The following is a 25813-nucleotide window of genomic DNA, read 5'->3' as shown; positions in this document are numbered from 1 at the left end:
TACTAATATTTATTGAGTGCTTCCTTTTTGCCAGATATTGTCATAGCCACTGGGCAAATAGTGGACATTCAATAAATAAATGTCTTCTTGAATAAAACTTCCTGGATATTCTCAGAAAATGTTTCTGTTATGCTACTAAAGTTTTGACAGGCTAGTTGCTTTCATTTCATTTTCCTGTTATTGTAATTTAAAAGCACAAAGTCTAGAGAATGACCTTTGAAATGTTACACATGATGTGCATTTCAAGAGAAAAAATTTGGATTGGCATACCAACCTCCTCATCATGTTTTGAAATGTGATACTTCAGGGATAAGGCAAAAGAGCAAAGCAGGCCAAAATCCTCTCCACAGAGAGATGAACTGCAGGGCCCGGCACATCCCTGTTTTCATTAAAACAGGTAACATACCCATTGTGTTCAGTCAGCCACAGGCTATTTCAGGATACTTTTTAACACCTTGAAGTCACTAAAATAAATTCCACTGCTTCTCAAGGTATCACCAAGTAGAACAAAAGGTAGAATAAAAAATGGAAGAAATGAAAACCCCATATTCTGTCCACTTGTTGCAATCATAAAAAATGTTTTAAAATCAAGTCCCTCTTTCTAAGACAAAATAACCTTTCTTTAGAAACAAGCAACTGATGTTCCCACACAGCTTGATATTTTCCTGCAGATCCTGTGATGTTACCAAAAACCTGCATAATACTGTGTGTGTGTGTGTGTGTGCGTGCGTGCGTGCTTGTGTGTGTATGTATGCACAAGTGTATGAGTTTATTAAACTCTGTGACACTTACCTACACATTTTCCCAGGACAGCTGTATATGGTTTTGGGAAAAATAAAGCATCATGAGCCAGGAAGCTCCTTAGAAAATCAAAAGTGCACTCATTCATTTATTTTTATCCAATATTTTATCTCACCTTTGTGATTTTATACATCCTGTTTCTTATATGTATACTGCTCCCCTTCTTCTGTGTATTCAATTAATTTTAATCTTCCAACTATAAGTAACAGGAAATCTTCAACTCACGTAACTTAAACAATAAGGAAATGTATCATGAAACCTAGAGTTTCCTGGATTGGTTAATTCACATCTTAGTGACATCACTGAGATCCTAGATTCTTGCTGTCTCAAAATTCTTTGATCCTCAGCATATCAACTTCGACCTCAAGCTGTTTATCTGATGGTGGCAAGATGGTATCACAACCAGTCACAATAATTTCCTGCTGAAAAGGATCTATCTTTTCCATGTGTCTTTTTCAGAGTAGAGAAACTATACCCAGAAGCCCCAGGAGACTTCCCCTCATAGCTCATTTGCCAGGGTTAGGTCACAAACCCTGACTAAGCCAATCCCTGGAGAGGGGAATGGGGTTACTACGATGGCTTTGAATTAAAAGTATTTACTTTGGAGTGGTAAAAGAGGAGGGTATATACTGCACAAAATCTAGGCTCTTCCAGCAAGGAAGAAAAGGAAATTTGATATGAAGCAAGTGTTAAGAACAAATAACTTAGATCACTTTTTTTTTTTAAAAAAGTAGATTTACTTGCCTTTAATAATAAGCAGAATAAGTAAGTCGTACCTACTAAATTAGGAATATCAATTCTTTACTCAGCTTCTGTATGCACTAACCCATGTAAAGAATTACACTGTTCTTGAATGTGTCTCTCCCTGACCACTGGAGATAGAATTAATCTTTCTATTCTGTGCTATCCATACATACAAACTTGAATGAGCATGTGGAGACACATATTTTAGTTTTTGGAGAGAACAAAACTCTAACAATATTTCAAAGCATCTTTTACAAACTTTTCTCTCTTCAATGAACAATAGTGGCAAGATTACATGGATAAAGACAATGAGAGTGTAGAAGGTTTTGAGTAACTGTCTCAATAATTATTCTTCAGATATTGATCAATAATGTGTCATAAAACAGTGTAAAGAAAGATGCTCTTTTCATAAATTATAAATATTTCTTCTATAGAGAGACCAACCTTATTAATTAAAAAAGCTATTGTCCCAGTGTGTTTTTTATGGAAAGCCTAGAAAAAAGAAGCCATTTGTAGGTGAGCAAAGAAAATCACTTAATTCACAAAGATATCCTAAATGCCTTTGTTAAAGACATAAGCAATTTTAAATGAACGAATCCATTAATATCTACCAGTGGTTAAATGTAGCATTCTGTTTATTTATGTCAGTAATTGCTGTAAATGATAATGATTCTTCATATCGCTAGATATCCAATGCATTATTCATTCCTCCTTAGGCTGAGATATGAGAACATCAGAGCTATTATAGGTTTTATGTAGTGATTTATAGGAAGAATAGATTATTTATTAAAATAATAGACAAATATTAGAGAGACATTGTTGACTCACTATTTTTCTGATGTTTTATTAACTTTATTTTTTTTTAATTTTACAATTTAACATCTTCATGTGGAGCTGAAATTCTAATTAGTGTGAATTTTAGTGTCCTTATTGGAGATCAAATACCTAAGCGTATTGAACATATAATAATATCACCTCTTGTTTTTTGTTAACTCTTTATATGGGTTAGTGTGTAATGAAGCTGAGTAAAGGATTAATATTCCTAATTTAGTAGGTACAAATTATTTATTTTGCTTACTATTAAAAGTGAGTACATCTACTGTTAAAATAGTTGGAGACCTAAGTTGTTATTGGTTGTAAATATCCTTCCTTGAATATTAAAATCTACTTATTTTTTGTCAGTATCTTTGGCAAATTTTTTTAAGTTGTCTTTTGTGTTCTTGACTTGCCAATGTACTCCATTTGTTATTTCATTCATGCCATCACCTAAGATATGATGGAGACTCACTGTGCTAACAAAGGCAGGCCATTCCATCTAAAGCTTCTACCTGCTAAAACATAGATAACTGTTTAGTGCTGCTTCTGATTTTTTAAGGACTTACGCCTGAAAATTTCCTGTCTTAAAAACAACCAACCAAACAAACAAACAAATGAAAAACCTAGTTATTGACCTTGCATCCTGTATTCCATGGTTACAGGGTGAGCGTAAAGACAGAATATCTGAGAGCTGGCTCTATGTTTTTCTTTTTCATCTAACTATTTTGGTTCTAGACACACTTTTGTTAGTGAAGCAAGAGTTAAGGAGCAAAAATTCTGAATATTTTTATTTTCAGTTCATTAAAGCTTTCTGACTCCTCCTCTCCTCACACACATGAATTTATGTTTTTTTTAAAATAATTACTCTCTAAATTCATGTATAAATTCTGGGCTTATTTTTAGTAAGGAAAGGGTACTTTTATTTTGGATTGGAGAACAGCTATCATAGTATTAAAATTGACTTCAGGCCTGTAATCCCAACACTTTGGGAGGCTGAGGCAGGCAGATCACCTGAGGTTGGGAGTTTGAGACGAGCCTGACCAACATGGAGAAACCCTATCTCCACTAAAAATACAAAATTAGCCAGGCATGGTGGTGTATGCCTGTAATCCCAGCTACTTGGGAGGCTGAGGCAGGAGAATTGCTTGAACCTGGGAGGCAGAGTTTGCAGTGAGCCAAGATCACGCCATTGCACTCCAGCCTGGGCAACAAGATCGAAACTCAGTCTCAAAAAATTAAATTATTTCTTAGACATTTGACTTGTACACTTTTTAGCAAGTTGTATATATGTCATCAGGTTATTTCACCACAGAACATATAAATTATTGCTATAACTACAGAAAAATGTCACATACATCTGATTATCACATGACAGATTTCATCTTAGGGAAATAAATGATTTTTTAAAAAAATAATTAAAGTTCAAGTATTTCTAGTTACTGCCAACACATTAATGCACAATTGAGTGACTCCAGAAGACTAAATATGAATGATGGCAGTTGATTTTTTGAAAATCCGGATTATTTGGACAGTCATTTTAAAATTCAGACACAAATTAACTCAGTACTTTGTTAATTTTACAATCGTGTACTGCATGATGACATTTTGGTCAAATGTGGACCACGTATGCAATGGTGATCCCCTAATATTATACTACGTTGTTTTTACTTTACCTTTTCTATGTTTAGATACACAAATACTTAGCATTGTGTTCCAATTACCTACAGTGTTCAGTACAGCAATATGTTGTACTGGTTTACCTAGAAGCAATGGGCTATACCAGTGGTCCCCAACCTTTTTGGTACCAGGGACTGGTTTCTTGGGAGACAATTTTTCCACGGACTTTGGGAGGGGAATGGTTTTGGGATGATCCAAGCACATTATATTCATTTGGCATTTCATTTCTATTTTTACATTGTAACATATAATGAAATAATTATAGAACTCATCATCATGTAGAATCAGTGGGAGGCCTGAGCTTATTTTCCTGCAACCAGACAGTCCCATCTGGGGGTGATGGGAGACAGCAACAGATCATCAGGCATTAGATTCTCATAAGAAGCATACAACGTAGATCCCCTGCATGTGCAGTTCACAATAGGGTTTGCACTCCTATGGGAATCTAATGCCACTGCCAATCTGACAGGAGGCAGAGCTCAGGTGGTAATGTGAGAAATGGGGAACAGCTATAAATACAGATGAAGCTTCACTGGCTCACCTGCTGCTCACCCCTCACTGTGCAGCTCAGTTCCTAACAGGCCATGGACTGGTACCATCTGTGACCTGGGGACTGGGGACCCCTGGGCTATATAGTGTAGCCTAGGTGGGTAGTAGGCGATCTCATATAGGTTTTTGTAAGTATACTCTATGACATTCACACAATGATGGAATCCCCTAATGACACATTTCTCAGAAGTGATTCATGATGTTAAGTGACAGATGACCATATTTTAGACTTGGCCAAAAATCATCTCAACGTAGAGTACCTTGCCCTCAGAGGGTTCATAGAAATGATCACAGTCCATTGAGCTCTGAGTCAACTCTGTAGTAGCCCATTCAGATTATTTCTTTAGACCCCGAACAATTAACTGGTCTTAGATAAGACATTTTCTATGCAGTATGTGTGATGCACACTTTTCTGTAATTGTTTGAAAGTGCCAAACTCTATCTTGTCTCGGAGCTACTATAGATGTGGTTTCCTCTGCCTGGAGCTATTTTTGCCCTATTTGCAAGGCTAGATTCATTTTATATATCAGGTTTCAGCCAAGTATCATCACTTCTGAGTTGCCAGTTTTTCACTACTCCATAAGAGTTCCTCTTCCTGTTATTCTCTCTCTTTATGCATTGTTATTTACTTCTCTTTACTTGTTGCAACTTATAATTATGTATCTGTTTATTGTCTGTTGTCCCTTCATTCCTATCTCTCAGAGACTGAAAACTCCATAGGAGCAAGGACACATAATAGATACTATTAATAGATATTTATTAAGTATTTGATGACTGAATGAATGATCCTGGTGTCAAGACCAGAACCTAATCCTAGGTCTCCAGAATCCCTATTATTGTACATTAGTCACTGCACATTTACAATAAAATATCAATTAAAGTATTTCCTATCTTCTACCCATGTAGAAAATAATCCTTCACATGACCTAAATTCAACCACTGTCTAATTTCCATGATATATTTGGGAAGCATAACAGAGCTAAGTAATTAAGGCCTCTCTATGAATGTTATTGAAATAATACAATATCAAGAACAGTAGGATTCAGAACAGAAAGAAAATGAAAGCTTTTTTCTATTGTAGGAACCCACCTCTTGCATCGGTGTGTGCTGGATGTGAGGCATGGAGTCAAAGAAGATCATTTTAGAGCTTTAAGATTTAATGACTGCCCCACTGGGTTTCAGACTGGCATGGGGCCTGTGGCCTCTTTGTTTTGGCCAATTTCTCCCATTTGGAAGGGAAACATTTATCCCAAAATAAAGTTTTTTTAACAGTTAAAAAGTTTCTGCTTTTCAAAAAGGCTGATCGACTCTAAACCAATCAAAACTTTTGACTTTAAGTCAATAGTTACCTTCTTTAAAGATAAATCATTTCTTTTGTTTGTGCTTCTTTTCTCTGAATTTTGGAAAATTAATAGAATAAGAGTAAAACATTTGATATCTGTTCAATTCAGCTTAAGATCTATTTATTTTCATTTAAAAACAGAACAAAACAAAAATTAATTATTCAATATCACTCCCTCTACACACACAGACATATGCCCATCCTGCATTTTTTTCAAACAGAAGTTATCTTGGAGACTTACTTCATTAACTTAGGTGTGAAATAATTTTCTTGTCTATATCAAGGACAGAATGACAAATATTCTCAGATTCTCTTAGCAACAGGCATTTGATTTGCTGTCTTGAATAGAGCCTTGTAAAGTTTCCTTTGTAGGAGAAATACCATATTTGAAAATGTTGTCATATTGTTGTTTTAGTATTTTCATATTATTATTTTATTACTAAATAAGTTTATGTAACTTTAGAAATAGAAACTGGTATGGTTTGGCTCTGCATTCCCACCCAAATCTCAGGTTGAATTGTAATCTCCACATGTTGGAAGAGAGGCCTGGTGGGAGATGATTGGATCATGGAGTGGATTTCTCCCTTGCTGTTCTTACGATAGTAAGTGAGTTCTCATGAGAACTGATGGTTTTAAAGTGTGGTACTTCCTGCCCCTGACCATCTCTCCTGCCACTATGTAAAGTGTGCCTTGCTTCCCCTTCACCTTCCGCCATGATTGTAAGTTTCCTGAGGCCTCCCCAGCCATGTGGAACTGTGAGGCAATTAAACCTATTTTCTTTATAAATTACCCACTCTCAGGTAGTTCTTTGTCACAGTGTGAAAAAGGACTAATATGGAAAAATTGGTACTGGGAGTTTGGGGCACTGCTATAAAGATACCTGAAAATGTGGAAGTGACTTTGGAACTGGGAAGCAGGCAGAGGTTGGAACAGTTTGGAGGGCTCAGAAGAAGAAAGGAATATGTGGGGAAGTTTGGAACTTCCTAGAGACTAGTTGAATGATTGTGACCAAAATGCTGATAGTGATATGAACAATGAAGCCCAGGCTGGGGTAGTCTCAGATGAAGAGGAGAAACTTACCAGGAACTGGAGCAAAGGTCACTCTTCCTATGCTTTAGCAAAGAGATTAGCAGCATTTTGCCCCTGCCCTAGAGATCCTAGACATGGAACTTTGAATTCAAAGAGATGACTTAGGGTGTCTGACAGAAGAAATTTCTAAGCAGCAAAGCATTCCAGCTTTTTCTGAAGCATACAATCATGTGTGTTCACAAAGAGATTGTCTGAAATTAGAGCTTATGTTTAAAAGGGAAGTAGAGCGTAAAAGTTTGGAAAATGTGCAGCTTGATTGTGTGATGAGAAAAAAGAAAAACCCATTTTATGGGAAGAAATTTAAGCTGCTTGCTGTTAGAATTTGCATAAGTAAAGAAAAGCCAAATACTAATAGCCAAGACAATGGGGAAAATGTCTCCAGGGCATTTCAGAGATCTACATGGCATAGCCTCCTATCACAGGCCTGGAGGCCTGGGAGGAAAAAGTGGTTTTGTGGGCCAGGCCCATGGCCTTGCTGCTCTGTGAAACCTCTGGACATGGTGCCCTGTGTCCTGGCTGGTCCAGCTCCAGTTGTGGCTAAAAGGGGCCAAGGAACAGCTTGGGCTGTTGCTTCAGAAGGTGCAAGCCCCAAACCTGTGCAGCTTTCACGTGGTGTTGGGCTTACAGTTGTGCAGAAGGCAAGAGTTGAGCTTTGGGAGCCTCCACCTAGCTTTCAAAGGATGTATGGAAACACCTAGATGTCCAGACAGAAGTCTGCTGCTGGGGTGGAACCCTTGTGGAGAACCTTCATTAGGGCAATGCAGAGGGGAGGGCAATGCAGAGGGCAATGTTGCCTAGGGGAGCTGTAAGAAGAGGGCCACCATCCTCCAGACCCTAGAATGGTAGATACACCAACGGCTTGCACTGTGCACCTGGAAAAGCCACAGGCACTCAATGCCAGCTAGTGAAAGCAGCCACAGGGACTGTACACTGCAGAGTCACAGAAGTGGAGCTGTCTGAGGCTGTAGGAACCCACCTCTTGCATCAGTGTGTGCTGGATATGAGGCATGGAGTCAAAGAAGATCATTTTAGAGCTTTAAGATTTAATGACTGCCCCACTGGGTTTCAGATTGGCATGGGGCCTGTGGCCTCTTTGTTTTGGCCAATTTCTCCCATTTGGAATGGAAACATTTACCCAATGCCTGTACCCCCATTGCATCTTGGAAGTAACTAACTTGTTTTTGATTTTACAGGCTTATAGGTGGAAGGGACTTGCCTTGTCTCAGAACTTGGACTTTTGAGTTAATGCTGGAATGAGTTAAGACTTTGGGGGACTGTTGGGAAGGCATGATTGATATTGAAATGTGAAAAGGACATGAGATTTTGGAGGGGCCAGGGACAGAATGATATGGCTTGGCTCTGTGTCCCCTCCCAAATCTCATTTTGAATTGTAATTCCCACATGTTGGAGGAGGGGCCTGGTGGGAGATAATTGGATCATGGGGGTGGATTTCTCCCTTGCTGTTCTCATGATAGTGAGTGAGTTCTCATGAGAGCTGATGGTTTTGAAGTGTGGCACTTCCCACCTCACTCTCCCTTTATCTCTCCTGCCACCATGTAAGATGTGCCTTGCTTCCCCTTCGCCTTCTGCCATGATTGTAATTTTCCTGATGCCTCCCCAGCCATATGGAACTGTGATTCAATTAAACCTCTTTTCCTTATAAATTACCCAGTATTAGGTAGCTCTTTATAGCAGTATGAAAATGGACTAACACAGAAAATTTCTTAGAGATCATCTAGTCCAATACCCTCGTTTAAAATTTATTTTTTAAAGTAACATAATTAACATTTTTTGAAATGTAGTTGAAATTAACAAATTGTAAACAAATATTTAAATAAAGAATAATTTCTTATTTTCTTATTTCATTAAAAAGAAGGGGAAATCTACTTCTCTAAATGTTTCAGCAACTCTTTTATTCGAGGGTCTCATTTTTGCCCCCATTTGGATTTTCCTTAACATATTTTCTAAATCCTAGCTAGAGCACATCTCTGTTTTATCTTGTTTCAAATAATGAGGACTTTTTAATACCTAAATTATGCTATGTTCTATGAGACTATTTGTGGCTTTAGGGAACCAAATGTTTTTAAGCTTTTTTTGAGGTTTAGAACTTTGATTTTAATAACACCAGTAATAAAAATGATATCTGGATTTTTAAAACAAAGCTTTGCTCACCTCTTTACCACATCTAAGGATCTTTTTCTCTTAATTTCAGATTGATTAATCTCCATCTGAGGTAGCACTTCTGTTTCCCTCAGGCCAGTTTTGGCCAACGCAGTTTTCCCTTTGTCCTGAGGTGGCAAGCCATTTCCTGTCTCCTTTCCTCTCTAAATGTTTACACTAAAGCCTTTTCTAATTTATTGTTACGCTCAGCAAATAGAAGCAGCTCAGTAAATATTAATTGAATGTGAATAAAAGTGTAATTTATTGTATTTTTACCATAAATGTTATTTATTCAATTTTCAAATTTATTTGGTTGGTAAACTTAACGTATCATGTGACTTTATTTTATTTCATAGTTTATCATAACATTTATCCTATAAGTAAATTTCCTTAGTGTTTTATATTTTCCTGAAAACCTTATCAAGTAATACAGGAAGAAAATGATATATATCTGAGGGAACAAATTGAAACTTATCTTTACTTTTTAAAACAAAATATTTTAAGACTCTTAAGGACAGAGGCTTTGCTATTTATTTGTTTTATGATCTTCCATTTCATCTGCTATACAAGTTAAATAACAGATTGCTATTAAAGTCTTAGAATTCAAAAAATAGAAGATTTGTATTAGACTCATGTTCCTGATATTTCGGAGCAAGAAGGAATTTTAGTGATGGTCCAATCTAAACTTCTATTTTTCAGACAAGGAAACTGAAACATCAGAGACTGTTGCAGCTAATATAGTGTGTGCCATATACACATGCACAAACTCACACACACACTAATACAAATAGCCAATGTGTATTCAGTATTTTGGTTAATAGGTAGAATTCTTTTTTTTTATTTTTTATTTTATTATTATTATACTTTAAGTTTTAGGGTACATGTGCACAATGTGCAGGTTAGTTGCATATGTACACATGTGCCATGCTGGTGTGCTACACCCATTAACTCGTCATTTAGCATTAGGTATATCTCCTAATGCTATCCCTCCCCCGTCCCCCCACCCCACAACAGTCCCTAGAGTGTGATGTTCCCCTTCCTGTGTCCATGTGTTCTCATTGTTCAGTTCCCACCTATGAGTGAGAACATGTGGTGTTTGGTTTTTTATCCTTGTGATAGTTTACTGAGAATGATGATTTCCAATTTCATCCATGTCCCTAGAAAGGACATGAACTCATCATTTTTTATGGCTGCATAGTATTCCATGGTGTATATGTGCCACATTTTCTTAATCCAGTCTATCATTGTTGGACATTTGGGTTGGTTCCAAGTCTTTGCTATTGTGAATAGTGCCACAATAAACATACGTGTGCATGTGTCTTTACAGCAGCATGATTTATAGTCCTTTGGGTATATACCCAGTAATGGGATGGCTGGGTCAAATTCTAGTCAAAATCTAGAAATTTCAAGTTCTAGATCCCTGAGGAATCGCCACACTAACTTCCACAATGGTTGAACTAGTTTACACTCCCACCAATAGTGTAAAAGTGTTCCTATTTCTCCACATCTTCTCCAGCACCTGTTGTTTCCTGACTTTTTCATGGTTGCCATTGTAACTGATGTGAGATGGTATCTCACTGTGGTTTTGATTTGCATTTCTCTGATGGCCAGTGATGGTGAGCATTTTTTCATGTGTCTGTTGGCTGCATAAATGTCTTCTTTTGAGAAGTGTCTGTTCATGTCCTTCGCCCACCTTTTGATGGGGTCGTTTGTTTTTTTCTTGTAAATTTGTTTGAGCTCATTGTAGATTCTGGATATTAGCCCTTTGTCAGATGAGTAGGTTGTGAAAATTTTCTCCCATTTTGTAGGTTGCCTGTTCAGTCTGATGGTAGTTTCTTTTGCTGTGCAGAAGCTCTTGAGTTTAACTAGATCCCATTTGTCAATTTTGGCTTTTGTTGCCATTGCTTTTGGTGTTTTAGATATGAAGTCCTTGCCCATGCCTATGTCCTGAATGGTAATGCCTAGGTTTTCTTCTAGGGGTTTTATGGTTTTAGGTCTAACATTTAAGTCTTTAATCCATCTTGAATTAATTTTTGTATAAGGCATAAGGAAGGGATCCAGTTTCAGCTTTCTACATATGGCTAGCCAGTTTTCCCAGCAACATTTATTAAACAGGGAATCCTTTCCCCATTGCTTGTTTTTCTCAGGTTTGCCAAAGATCAGATAGTTGTAGATATGTGGCGTTACTTCTGAGGGCTCTGTTCTGTTCCATTGATCTATATCTCTGTTTTGGTACCAGTACCATGCTGTTTTGGTTACTGTAGCCTTGTAGTATAGTTTGAAGTCAGGTAGTGTGATGCCTCCAGCTTTGTTCTTTTCGCTTAGGATTGACTTGACGATGAGGGCTCTTTTTTGGTTCCATATGAACTTTAAAGTAGTTTTTTCCAATTCTGTGAAGAAAGTCATTGGTAGCTTGATGGGGATGGCATTGAATCTATATATTACCTTGGGCAGTATGACCATTTTCACAATGTTGATTCTTTCTACCAATGAGCATGGAATGTTCTTCCATTTGTTTGTATCCTCTTTTATTTCATTGAGCAGTGGTTTGTAGTTCTCCTTGAAGAGGTCCTTCACATCCCTTGTAAGGTGGATTCCTAGGTATTTTATTCTCTTTGAAGCAATTGCGAATGGGAGTTCACTCATGATTTGGCTCTCCGTTTGTCTGTTATTGGTGTATAAGAATGCTTGTGATTTTTGCACATTGATTTTGTATCCTGAGATTTTGCTGAAGTTGCTTATCAGCTTAAGAAGATTTTGGGCTGAGACAATGGGGTTTTCTAGATATGCAATCATGTCATCTGCAAACAGGGACAATTTGACTTCCTCTTTTCCTAATCGAATACCCTTTATTTCCTTCTCCTGCCTAATTGCCCTGGCCAGAACTTCCAACACTATGTTAAATAGGGGTGGTGAGAAAGAGCATCCCTGTCTTGTGCCAGTTTTCAAAGGGAATGCTTCCAGTTTTTTCCCATTCAGTATGATATTGGCTGTGGGTTTGTCATAGATAGCTCTTATTATTTTGAGATATGTCCCATCAATACCTAATTTACTGAGAGTTTTTAGCATGAAGTATTGTTGAATTTTGTCAAAGGCCTTTTCTGCATCTATTGAGATAATCATGTGGTTTTTGTCATTGGTTCTGTTTATATGCTGGATTACATTTATTGATTTGCATATATTGAACCAGCCTTGCATCCCAGGGATGAAGCCCACTTGATCATGGTGGATAAGCTTTTTGATGTGCTGCCAGATTCGGTTTGCCAGTATTTTATTGAGGATTTTTGCATCAATGTTCATCAAGGATATTGGTCTAAAATTCTCTTTTTTTGGTTGTGTCTCTGCCCGGCTTTGGTATCAGGATGATGCTGGCCTCCTCAAATGAGTTAGGGAGGATTCCCTCTTTTTCTATTGATTGGAATAGTTTCAGAAGGAATGATACCAGTTCCTCCTTGTACCTCTGGTAGAATTCGGCTGTGAATCCATCTGGTCCTGGACTCTTTTTGGTTGGTAAGCTATTGATTATTGCCACAATTTCAGAGCCTGTTATTGGTCTATTCAGAGATTCAACTTCTTCCTGGTTTAGTCTTGGGAGGGTGTATGTGTCAAGGAATTTATCCATTTCTTCTAGATTTTCTAGTTCATTTGCGTAGAGGTGTTTGTAGTATTCTCTGATGGTAGTTTGTATTTCTGTGGGATCAGTGGTGATATCCCCTTTATCATTTTTTATTGCATCTATTTGATTCTTCTCTCTTTTCTTCTTCATTAGTCTTGCTAGCGGTCTATCAATTTTGTTGATCCTTTCAAAAAACCAGCTCCTGGATTCATTAATTTTTGAAGGGTTTTTTGTGTCTCTATTTCCTTCAGTTCTGCTCTGATTTTAGTTATTTCTTGCCTTCTGCTAGTTTTTGAATGTGTTTGCTCTTGCTTTTCTAGTTCTTTTAATTGTGATGTTAGGGTGTCAGTTTTAGATCTTTCCTGCTTTCTCTTGTGGGCATTTAGTGCTATAAGTTTCCCGCTACACACTGCTTTGAATATGTCCCAGACATTCTGGTATGTTGTGTCTTTGTTCTCATTGGTTTCAAAGAACATCTTTATTTCTGCCTTCATTTCGTTATGTACCCAGTAGTCATTCAGGAGCAGGTTGTTCAGTTTCCATGTAGTTGAGCGGTTTTGAGTGAGATTCTTAATCCTGAGTTCTAGTTTGATTGCACTGTGGTCTGAGAGATAGTTTCTTATAATTTCTGTTCTTTTACATTTGCTGAGGACAGCTTTACTTCCAAGTATGCGGTCAATTTTGGAATAGGTGTGGTGTGGTGCTGAAACAAATGTATATTCTGTTGATTTGGGGTGGAGAGTTCTGTAGATGTCTATTAGGTCCTCTTGGTGCAGAGCTGAGTTCAATTCCTGGGTATCCTTGTTAACTTTCTGTCTCATTGATCTGTCTAATGTTGACAGTGGGGTGTTAAAGTCTCCATTATTATTGTGTGGGAGTCTAAATCTCTTTGTAGGTCACTTAGGACTTGCTTTATGAATCTGGGGGCTCCTGTATTGGGTGCATATATATTTAGGATAGTTAGCTCTTCTTGTTGAATTGATCCCTTTACCATTATGTAATGGCCTTCTTTGTCTCTTTTGATCTTTGTTGGTTTGAAGTCTGTTTTATCAGAGACTAGGATTGCAACCCCTGCCTTTTTTTGTTTTCCATTTGCTTGGTAGATCTTCCTCCATCCTTTTATTTTGAGCCTATGTGTGTCTCTGCATGTGAGATGGGTTTCCTGAATACAGCACACTGATGGGTCTTGACTCTTTATCCAATTTGCCAGTCTGTGTCTTTCCATTGGAGCATTTAGTCCATTTACATTTAAAGTTAATATTGTTATTGTGAATTTGATCCTGTCATTATGATGTTAGCTGGTTATTTTGCTCGTTAGTTCATGCAGTTTCTTCCTAGCCTCGATGGTCTTTACAATTTGGCATGATTTTGCAGTGGCTGGTACTGGTTGTTCCTTTCCATGTTTAGTGCTTCCTTCAGGAGCTCTTTTAGGGCAGGCCTGGTGGTGACAAAATCTCTCAGCATTTGCTTGTCTGTAAAGGATTTTATTTCTCCTTCACTTATGAAGCTTAGTTTGGCTGGATATGAAATTCTGGGTTGACAATTCTTTTCTTTAAGAATGTTGAATATTGGCCCATACTCTCTTCTGGCTTGTAGAGTTTCTGCCGGGAGATCCGCTGTTAGTCTGATGGGCTTCCCTTTGTGGGTAACCCGACCTTTCTCTCTGGCTGCCCTTAACATTTTTTCCTTCATTTCAACTTTGGTGAATCTGACAATTATGTGTCTTGGAGTTGCTGTTCTCGAGGAGTATCTTTGTGGCGTTCTCTGTATTTCCTGAATCTGAATGTTGGCCTGCCTTGCTAGATTGGGGAAGTTCTCCTGGATAATATCCTGCAGAGTGTTTTCCAACTTGGTTCCATTCTCCCCGTCACTTTCAGGTACACCAGTCAGACGTAGATTTGGTCTTTTCACATAGTCCCATATTTCTTGGAGGCTTTGTTCGTTTCTTTTTATTCTCTTTTCTCTAAACTTCCCTTCTCGTTTCATTTCATTCTTTTCATCTTCCATCACTGATACCCTTTCTTCCAGTTGATCACATCGGCTCCTGAGGCTTCTGCATTCTTCACGTAGTTCTCGAGCCTTGGTTTTCAGCTCCATCAGCTCCTTTAAGCACTTCTCTGTATTGGTTATTCTAGTTATGCATTCATCTAAATTTTTTTCAAAGGTTTTAACTTCTTTGCCTTTGGTTTGAATTTACTCCTGTAACTCGGAGTAGTTTGATCATCTGAAGCCTTCTCTCAACTCGTCAAAGTCATTCTCCGTACAGCTTTGTTCCGTTGCTGGTGAGGAACTGCGTTCCTTTGGAGGAGGAGAGGCGCTCTGCTTCTTAGAGTTTCCAGTTTTTCTGCTCTGTTTTTTCCCCCGTCTTTGTGGTTTTATCTACTTTTAGTCTTTGATGATGGTAATGTACAGATGGGTTTTTGGCGTGGATGTCCTTTCTGTTTGTTAGTTTTCCTTCTAACAGACAGGACCCTCAGCTGCAGGCCTGTTGGAGTTTGCTAGGGGTCCACTCCAGACCCTGTTTGCCTGGGTACCAGCAGCGGTGGCTGCAGAACAGCAGATTTTCATGAACCGCGAACGCTGCTGTCTGATCGTTTCTCTGGAAGTTTTGTCTCAGAGGAGTACCGGGTCCTGTGAGGTGTCAGTCTGCCCCTGCTGGGGGGTGCCTCCCAGTTAGGCTGCTCAGGGGTCAGGGGTCAGGGACCCACTTGAGGAGACAGTCTGCCCATTCTCAGATCTCCAGCTGTGTGCTGGGAGAAGCACTGCTCTCTTCAAAGCTGTCAGACAGGAACATTTAAGTCTGCAGAGGTTACTGCTGTCTTTTTGTTTGTCTGTGCCCTGCCCCCAGAGGTGGAGCCTACAGAGGCAGGCAGGCCTCCTTGAGCTGTGGTGGGCTCCACCCAGTTCGAGCTTCCCTGCTGCTTTGTCTACCTAAGCAAGCCTGGGTAATGGCGGGCGCCCCTCCCGCAGCCTTGCTGCCGCCTTGCAGTTTGATCTCAGACTGCTGTGCTAGCAATCAGCGAGACTCCGTGGGCGTAGGACCCTCCGAGCCAGGTGTGGGATATAATCTCCTGGTGCACTGTTTTTTAAGCCTGTCGGAAAAGCGCAGTATTCAGGTGGGAGTGACCTGATTTTCCAGGTGCCGTCTGTCACCCCTTTCTTTGACTAGGAAAGAGAACTCCCTGACCCCTTGCACTTCCCGAGTGAGGCAATGCCTCGCCCTGCTTCGGCTCGTGCACGGTGCGCTGCACCCACTGTCCTGCGCCCACTGTCTGGCACTCCCTAGTGAGATGAACCCGGTACCTCAGATAGAAATGCAGAAATCACCCATCTTCTGCGTCACTCACGCTGGGAGCTGTAGACCAGAGCTGTTCCTATGCTACCATCTTGGCTGCTCCCCAGTTAGTAGGTAGAATTCTAAATGCTCTACCTTGTTAATCTTGATAACTTTCTATATATATATATATACTTTTTTTTTTGATACAGAATCTCTTTCTGTCTCCCAGGCTGGAGTGCAGTGGCCTGATCTCAGCTCACTGCAACCTCTGCCTCCCGGGTTCAAGCGATTCTCATGCCTCAGCCTCCTGAGTAGTTGGGATTACAGGTGCGCACCACCATTCCCAGCTAATTTTTGTATTTTTAGTAGAGACAGAGCTTCACCATATTGGTCAGGCTGGTCTTTAACTCCTGACCTCATGATCCGCCCACCTCGGCTTCCCGAAGTGCTGGGATTACAGGCATGAACCACCACACCCAGCCACTGAGATATATGTTGTTTTTATCTCCATTTTACAGATGAAGAAATTGGCCCAGGGAGGTTAAATAAGTTCACCACCATCACATAATTAGTAAGTGGTAAAGCTGGGAGTAGGATCTATTTATTTAATCTCTTTAGCCCTCACTCTTAAACACATATACTATATTGCTTCTCTGATTAGAGCTGAGATATTCTGAGCCCTAATTCCTAATCCTGTAATGTTTCCATTATGGGTATTCTCTGAAAGGTTTGGAGATGGCTGAGGGTTATAAGTGAGACATATATATTAGAGTGGCAGTTAAAATAGTGGGAAATGGGAATGAAAGTAAGCTGGTGAAACTGGCAGAATGAAAAGAGGAGCAAGGAGATATTTTAGAAGGAATGTTGGTTTGGAATTCTGGCTGGACAAGTAATAATAAAATATCGGAAGAAAATAGATCTTTCTGAGTAATCAGAGAAATAATACTTGTTCAGAGGAGTTTAAACTCAATCGCTAATTGAGGGTTGGTTCTTCCCAAGAGGAGTAGCAAAACAAGAGGTAATATCAAAGCTCATCTACTGAAATTTCTATCAAATACCTTCCTCATCATTCCTTTCCTTCTTTCGAAATAAATTTTCTATCATGATTGTTATTTGTCTTTTACAAGGTTTCCTCAAATGATATTGGAAGGACATCTAGAAAGAGGACATAAAGGCCACTCTTCTTATTAGGCTTTTGCTGAGCTGTGAATATTTAAGAGATGAGGCGTAAGATCATCATTATTGATGTTATTTTTCCTTATGAGGGGTTCTTTCATAAATGCCACAGAGGGCAAGTGGTAAAGGACATGGAATTCAGGCTCCTCATTTCACTTCCTGCTGATGTGTGAATAACTCAGGGGCGACACACAACGATTTTACTTTATGCCATTTGGCATTTCATTCAGGCAGTTGAATTGTTGCTGCTCTCTTACCAGAGGTCTTAGTAGGGCCATTTTAGTAGACCTGTGCTTTGGAAGAATTCAGAATTACTTGAAAATTCCAGTTACTAACATATGCTTTTTGAAACAAATTATATGAAAAGAGCAGTTATATTGTTTATTATAAAGTTAGCCTAAGTAGAATTTTCTGGATTGTTTTTAAAGGAAGCCCACTCACATCATAATTAAATATGTATTGAAATAAGAGAAATTTGGGGTATAAAATTTTACTAATTATGACTCTGTCTTGTATTGTCATTTTGAAAATGTGTTTGAGCCACATAATTCTATGCCCCACAAAGAAAACTTCCAATTAACTTGGACTACTAATTGGCAATAACAAAACAAAACATCCTTGTGTAACATTACACGTAAATGTCTTACTATCAAGATTAGCTAATGACCTATATCTTAATTTTATGAATGACAATAACTCCACTATATTGATTATCAATCCAGAAAATGTTAAAGTCAGAGGAGAATATTGGCATTGAGGTGTGAATTTGAAAGCATTAGTATTATAAGATTGAAAGTAGTGTTCTCGTGAATGAATGTAAGTATATATAGAGATAATTATCCTGGGAACATGTTTAATTTAGCTTTAGTATGCAGTGTTAAATGACTTTATTTAATAATAAAACAGAATGAATCTAGTAAGTTTAGACTGGACAAATTTACTATCGACAGTAAGTGCCTAGGAATTGACAGAAGGTGCAGACTGTATGACAAAGAAATCTAAATATTCTTAGAAGTTCCTTCTTTTTTTATTTTTCAGATTGTTGCCATTCCCCATCTCCTGCCTTGAATCTTAGAATGAAATCTGTTATTGACAGTGAACTAATTTAATGAAGCAGTGTTAAATATTCAATGAAGCAGCAAATCTGCTCACATTTTTATTAACATATATTTTTGAAGAAACAAAGCAAGTCTACAGGCATAAAACAATGTTATGTCTATATGTCATGTATGTGCAGGTATTGAATCAGGACTAAAATATCTCTGATATTCTATGACACCACCACACTACAGAGCCACAGAGCTCATATTTAGAAGATTCATTATATTACTTAGTACTAAATATACTGCCACCAGCTAGGCTGGACAAATTTGCTATTGGACAAAGTTGGAAAAGGCCACAACAGAGGAAAAAATTATTTTCTTATTTATAAAGAAAGGGAATTTATAAAATTATGGAAAGAACATAAAAAATAAGGCTAGAGTCAAGAAAAAGCACTTGTAAAATAAGATGCTGATTATAGTGCTAGAATTAGAGAAGCTGATACAATAGGGAAAGTCATCTGTAAAAGTATTATCTCTTGAAATTAAACATAGAAATGTGAATAAGAAAACATCTATGTGTGAATGGATTTTGAGTGGGGCAGATAAGTGTTTTTAGCAAAGAACAGCGCAAATCAAGTACCCCCAAATTCTGCAAGAAACAAACAAAACCCCATCGCCTACCTCACCAAAAATTGTCTGACACAGTTGGGCTAAATCCATGTCATCAACTTAGAATTTGCTTTGGAAACCAGCAAGTGAAGTTGAGTCATATTTTCAGAGGCTTCCTCTTCCTCTTTGGAAAATCATCAACACATTTTCATCTTGTAAGCTATGTTTTTTTTCTTTTATAACCAGCATTGATTTTAAAAGCTTTATCCAATTCTTGGTTCTTGAATGTCCCTGAAGATATTTTTGAAGGATTATGCAAAGTGTTGCTCCCTCTGGAACTCCCATGTAGGCCCTGGAGATGTTGGGAAATGCTTGTGAGTAATTTTCATGCATAAAAAAGGACACTTAGCTGAATGCTAGATTGTAATTCAATCAGGAAGTTCCGATGACATTCTAAAACTGTACAGTCTGAATGCTTTATGAATAATACCACATTGCCAACACTGAATTACAGCTAGTATTTTTACACGAGGACTAGGAATACTAGCAACATAAAACAGTTTTATAGCCAGTTACCTTTGAGGTTGAGGGAGATGACAATTCATCACACAGAAGTCTTTAGTGCATCCCACAAAGATTATAATATGTGTAAGAGTGAAGGCTTGCCACTTGTTAGTCTATGAGAAGGATTTAAGTATAGAGGACACGGTGGTCTGCAAAACATTATAGGACTTGTGAAATGAGGACAGGGCTGCAATGCTTTTGAGGACACTCGGGTTGCCAGAAACACAAATCCTAGTCCTCATAAATACCACATTTGTGCTTTAATCATAAAAATTCTATTGAGACTAACCTTTCAGTGAGGGAATATTATCTAAAGAGAGCACAGTCATTTCAGCTGCTAAATGAAAAACTTGTATTTTATAAGCCTAGAAAAAAGTGAGTTGAATGTTATCATAAGATAACACATGGTCTTGAGGCACCCTGGGGCGCTGATATCTCACTTCACAGCGCAAGCTCAAAACACTCCTAGCTTGCTTAATAATTGTCAAAGTTATTTTAATTTGAACCATAACCAATTATTTATGTAAAAGAACTGTAAGAATGATAGTAGGAGAGCAAGAACATGAAAATTTATTTTTTTTCAGGCTTGTTGAGATTAATGAACCCTCAAAGATGTTATTAACTTTGCAGAATGGGTACCACATCTAAACAGCTATGCATTTCAAAATACCTTGGCTTTCTTCTCAAAAGAAAGAATTAAGTTGATACTCATGACTGAATCAGAAAGGTACTACTGACAGGTGCTCGGCACACTTTCCCCTGCATGACTCACCCTAAAGATACCTTATTTTTTCCATGAAGCCTTTTTATTCTCATATTTTTCTTTGGTCTTGTTTGAAAGCTCTATTCCCAGTGGCTTGAGAGAAGAAGAATAAACACCCAGGCCCCAGTAGTTTTTTTTTTTTTTTTAAACCCAGGGGGATATGCTCTGCCTATTGTCCTGAACACTAGCCAAAATCCTACTAAAATACAATATCTAGTATTGCCAAATCCTGCTTAGAGAGACATGAGAAACCTGAGAGTTCCTTCCATGGCTTGCCACAAAACAGATTATGGGTCTGGAAAATAAAAATAACCAGGAAGTGGCATTATAAATATAGATCAGAGAAAAAAAAGCCTTAGTGGTTCCTTGTTCATGGTCCTTAGGAATGTGCAGAAGTTTTGGACAGAGGATACAAACTAGCTTATTTGATCTTCTCTAGGCATAGGTAGAATAAGAGTAAATGCCCATAAGAAACTACACAAAGGGTTTAGAGACTGAGCTAAGAAAAAGCTGCCAGTCTGGAGTCAGTAGAAGAAAATTAAGAAATAGAGGGCAGTGGAATGCCAGAGAGAGGAAATACTTTGAACACATTAGCAAAGGAAAAATAGAAAAAAAATCATATTTGGAGAAGAGACATGAGCTCTGCCCGCATTCTCTTGAGATCTTTTGCTTGATTGAGGGCATGGGCTTTCCCCCTGCCATGATTGAGATAAAAGGCTATGATCAGGTAGAGGCAGTGCTTTGGAAGCTGCTTATGTCATTCCTCCCTCCTTTTCTTTTGTCCTGGTTCTGATTTAATTCATGGGTGTGTGTGTGTGTACGTGTGTGTGTGTGTGTGTGTGTGTGTTTTCATGCACACAAGCTTATGTATTAGATGGAGAGGGATTTGAAATTTTTCCTTGTTGAAAGGAAGGCTTCAAATGAAACAGCAATCCATCTCGCAGGAAAATTCCCATCCTGGGGATTCCCTTCAAGGCAGAAATTCAAGCAATGATGAGAAAGGTGCCCTTAGACTTGCCCAGTAATGAGATGTTACAAGCCATTAATTTTATGAAACTCCAAAGAAACACAGCCAGGCCGTAAAAAAAAGGTTAAAAAATAGATCTTCAACGAATCACTGAGAAAATACTAACTTTCCAAGTCCAGGGAATAAATTTGTCTGAGCCCTCTATTTTTCCCTCTCTGCATTATATTTGAAGATAGTTGTGTTTTGTTAGCTTTTTCATTTACCCCCAAAATACTTGCAAAATGCTTTAGTTTTAGAATTTTCATGTAATTGAGGAGTTAGAAACCCACCAAAGGTAGGGAGTCAAAGCAGAAACAGTTACTCAGATGCCTCTGGTAGCTATCCATTGTTCTAGAGAACAAGTCCATACTCGTAGCTTAAAAGGGATGGCAGGATGGCACTCTTATTTAACTCCTTACCCACATCTCTCCACCTGGACAGCCCCTCCCAACCCTCCCACCATACTTATCTCAGTTTTTCGACATGCCATGCCAGGTCACGCTTCTCTCTGGCCTTGGACATTCCATTTCCTCTGCTTCAAATTCCTTTCACTAGGCTAACACCTACTCATGGTGTAGGTTTAGCTTAGACTTCACTTTCTTCAGGAAGCTGACGCCAGTAACATTCCCTCCCCCTCACGTCTGGGTTATGGCCCCTCCTGCGTGCTTCCATTATACCTTCCCTATCTTGGTAGTCTTCACACTATATAATAATTTAGATGCCTATTTACTTGGCTGTAGTAGTCCTCACTAGACTATAAATTCTACCGTTATGTTACAGAAGAGCTCATACAACATAAACTACCTTTTGTGGAAGGATTATTTCAAACGTGGGGACCTAATTTTAGCTGTGGCAGTACGTGAGGAACATTTATAAGGTAGGGCACAACTGTACATTCACTTGGTTTCTCTTGAGTGCTCATTCTCTTCCATCTTTGAGTATGTTTTTTACTGCTGTTTTAAAGTATAGCCCTAGGGTTCTTGAAAACCAAAGCTTTTAGCTTCACGTGTAGACTTCATTCAATTTTTTTAAAAAGTATTGTCTTGAGGATTGATTGGTTTGAAAGCTTGGTTGTTATGAAAAGCTCTTATCTTTCCAGGGTTATTCCTTAGTTGCTCTTACAGAAACACCAAAACTGTAGGAATATCTTTAATATGCTGTCAAATAGAAAGGTTGGTGATAAATACTTGCCTCTAAAGAATGTTTTAGGAGCTTAGGAAATATGCAAGTCATCCGTGAAGCCCTCCTCCCTTTGAACTGCAATTTTTTATTATGGGAGTCAGGATACGTTGACTCTACTTTTTTTTTTTTTTTTTTTTTTTTCTTCACAAGGTCTCTCTCTGTCGCCCAGGCTGGAGTGCAGTGGTGTGATTATAGCTCACTGTAACCTCGAATTCCTGGGCTTAAATGATCCTCCCACCTCAGCTTCCTGAGTAGCTAGGACTACAGGCATACACCACCATGCCCAGATAATATTTACTTATCGTTCAGACAGCGTCTTGCTATGTCTCCCGTTGGTCTCAAGCAATCCTTCTGCCTCACCTCCCAGAAGGCTGGAATTACAGGCATAAGCCACTGTGCTCAGTCTGACTCTACTTTTTGTCTCAAAGCCAGGACACCTTATCCCAATGGCATAATATTTTTATTCCATTATACGCCGTACCATTTTAGTGATTTTTTCCCCTAAGTTCTACACACACTGGTTTCAGAATGATATTGCCAAAAGGAAAGAAGAAGAAATTCACTACACTTTTTTTTTTCTGGGAATGCTAGTAAAATCTGCATCTAAATTATATAAATGGTATTATTGTCTTCTTAAGTGGCACATGGTGTTACAGCTCACGCTTATTATGTCATCATTTACCTTTCATAAGTATTTTCAACATTCTTTTATCAATCAGTTAGTCTTCAACTGTGCTGTCCAAGATGGTAGCCTCTTTTCACATGAAGCTATTGAGCACCTGAAATGTGGCTAGTCTGAATTGAGATGAGCTGTAAATGTAAAATACAGACCAGCCTTCAAAGACTTGGTTAAAACAAAAAGGATTCAAAATATCTCATTTTTATCTCAAATAAATGAATTTATATTGATTACATGTTGAAATGATAATCTGAATATATTGGGTTGAGTAAAAGGCATTATTAAAATTAATTTCATCTGTTTCTTTTTACCTTTTTAATGCAGCTACTAAAAAATTAAAACTTGCATACCTGGCATGCAATATATATACATTTTTAATTTTTCATTTTAATTTTTGTGGGTACATAGCAGGTGTATATATTTATGAGGTACATGAGATATTTTGATGCAGGTATGCAATGTATAATAATCACATCATGTAAAATGGGTGTATCCATCCCCTCAAACATTTATCTCTTGGGTCACTAATAATCAAATTATGCTCTTCTTGTTATTTTTACATGTACAATTAAATTATCATTGACTATAGTCACCCTGTTGTGCTGTCAAATACTAAGTCTAATTCATTCTTTCTATTTTTTTTGTACCCATTAACCATCCCCACATCCCCCAAACCCCATTGCTGCCTTTCCCAGCCTGTGGTAACCATCCTTCTCCTCTCTATCAACATGAGTTCAATTATTTTGATTTTTAGTTTCCACAAATAAGTGAGAACATGGAATGTTTGTCTTTCTGTGCCTGGCTTATTTCACTTAGCATAATGACCTCCAATTTCATCCATGTTGTTGCATATGACAGGCTCTAGTTCTTTTCTATGGCTGAATAGTACTACATGGTGTATAATATGATGTTTTCTTTATTTACTCATTTGTTGATGAACACTTAGGTTGCTTCCAAATTTTGGCTATCGTGAAGAGCGCTACAACAAACATGGGAATGCAGATATCTCTTTGATACACTGATCTTTTTTCTTTTGGGTGTATACCCAGCAGTAGGATTCCTGGATCATATAGTATCTCTAGTTTTAATTTTTTGAGGAATCTCAAAACTGTTCTCCATAGTAGTTGCACTGATTTACATTCCCACCAACAGTGTATGAAAGTTCCCTTTTCTCCTCTCCTTTCCAGCATTTGTTTTTGCCTGTCTTTTGGACATAAGCCATTTTAACCGGGATGAGATGATATCTTATTGTAGTTTGACTTGCATTCCTCTGATAATCAATGGTGTTGAAAACCTTGTTATATGCCTTTTGTATGCCTTTTTTTTGAGAAATGTCTATTCAAATCTTTTGTTCATCTTTTGATTGGATTATTAGATTTTTTTCCTATAGAGTTGAGTTCCTTATGTATTCTGGTTATGAATCTCTTGTCGTATGGTTGTTTGCAAATATTTTCTCCCATTTTGTGAGTTGTCTCTTCACTTTGTTGATTGTTTCTTTGTTGTGCAGAACTTTTTAACTTAATGTTATCTCATTTGTCCATTTTTGCTTTGATTGCCTGCACTTGTGGGGTATTACTCAAGAAATTCTTGCCCAGAACAATGTCCTGGAGAGTTTCCCTGAAGTTTTCTTTTAGTAATTTCATAGATTGAAGTCTTAGATTTACACCTTCAATCCATTTTGATTTAGTTTTTGTATATGGCGAGAGATAGGCATCTACTTTCGTTCTTCTGCATATAGATAACCTGTTTTCCCAGCATCATTTATCGAAGAGACTGTCTTTTCCTCAGTGTATGTTCTTGGCACCTTTATTGAAAATGAGTTCACTGTAGGTGTGTAGATTTATTTCTGTGTTCTCTATTCTGTTCCATTGGTCTATGTGTCTGTTTCTATGTCACTATCAAGCTGTTTTTGGTTTCTATAGCTCCATAGTATAATTTGCAATTAGGTAATTTGATTTCTTCAATTTTGTTCTTTTTGCTTGGGATAGCTTTGGTTATTCTGGGTCCTCTGTGGTTCCATATAAATTTTAGGATTGTTTTTTCTATTTCTGTGGAGAATATCATTGGTATTTTGATAGTGATTGAATTGAATCTGTAGCTTGCTTTGGGTAGTATGGACATTTTAACAACATTGATTCTTTCAGTATATGAACCTGGAATATTTATCTATTTCTTGGTGTCCTCTTAAATTTCTTTCATCAGTGTTTCATAGTTTTCATTATAGAGGTCTTTCAGTTCTTTAGTTCATTCCTAGGTATTTAGTTTAATTTGTGGCTATTGTACATGGGATTACTTTTTAAATTTCTTTTTTCAGATTGTTTATTATTGGCATATAGAAATGTTACCGATTTTCGTACGTTGATTTTGTATCTTGCAACTTTACTGAATTTGTTGATCAATTCTAATAGTTTTTTGTGCAGTGTAGGTTTTTCCAAATACAAAATCATATCATCTGCAAATAGGACAATTTGACTTCTTCCTTTCCAATTTGGATGCTCTTTATTTCTTTGTCTCATTGCTCTAACTAGGAATTTCAGTACTATGTTGAATAACAGTGGTGAAAGTGGGTATCCTTGGCATGTTCCAGATCTTAGAGGAAAGGCTTTCAGTTTTTCCCCATTCAGTATGATAATAGCTATGAATCTGTTATATATGGCTTTTATTCTATTGAGGTATGTTCCTTCTTTTTTTTTTTTTTTTTTTTTTTAAGATGGCATCTT

General features: G+C 37.8%; 1 protein-coding gene across 11 annotated transcripts in view, besides 1 other annotated feature; it reads left to right on the top strand.

The window, feature by feature from the left end:
• The window catches only part of SLC44A5 (solute carrier family 44 member 5), a 521887-nt gene that overhangs the window by 231560 nt on the left and 264514 nt on the right, over nt 1–25813 (top strand). The window lies entirely within an intron of this gene.
• Nucleotides 15346–15846: an enhancer, noted in NCBI's record as "H3K4me1 hESC enhancer chr1:75942295-75942795 (GRCh37/hg19 assembly coordinates)". NCBI's record gives its function as "activates a minimal SCP1, AML or CMV promoter by ChIP-STARR-seq in primed H9 embryonic stem cells {active_cell/tissue: H9 hESC(primed)}" and the evidence as "EXISTENCE:reporter gene assay evidence [ECO:0000049][PMID:30033119]".

This window comes from Homo sapiens, chromosome 1, assembly GCF_000001405.40.
Source record: "Homo sapiens chromosome 1, GRCh38.p14 Primary Assembly".
In the NCBI taxonomy this organism is placed as follows: Eukaryota; Metazoa; Chordata; class Mammalia; order Primates; family Hominidae; genus Homo; species Homo sapiens.
The sequence above is the reverse complement of the archived record's forward strand: the minus strand, read 5'-3'. Positions and strand labels throughout refer to the sequence as shown.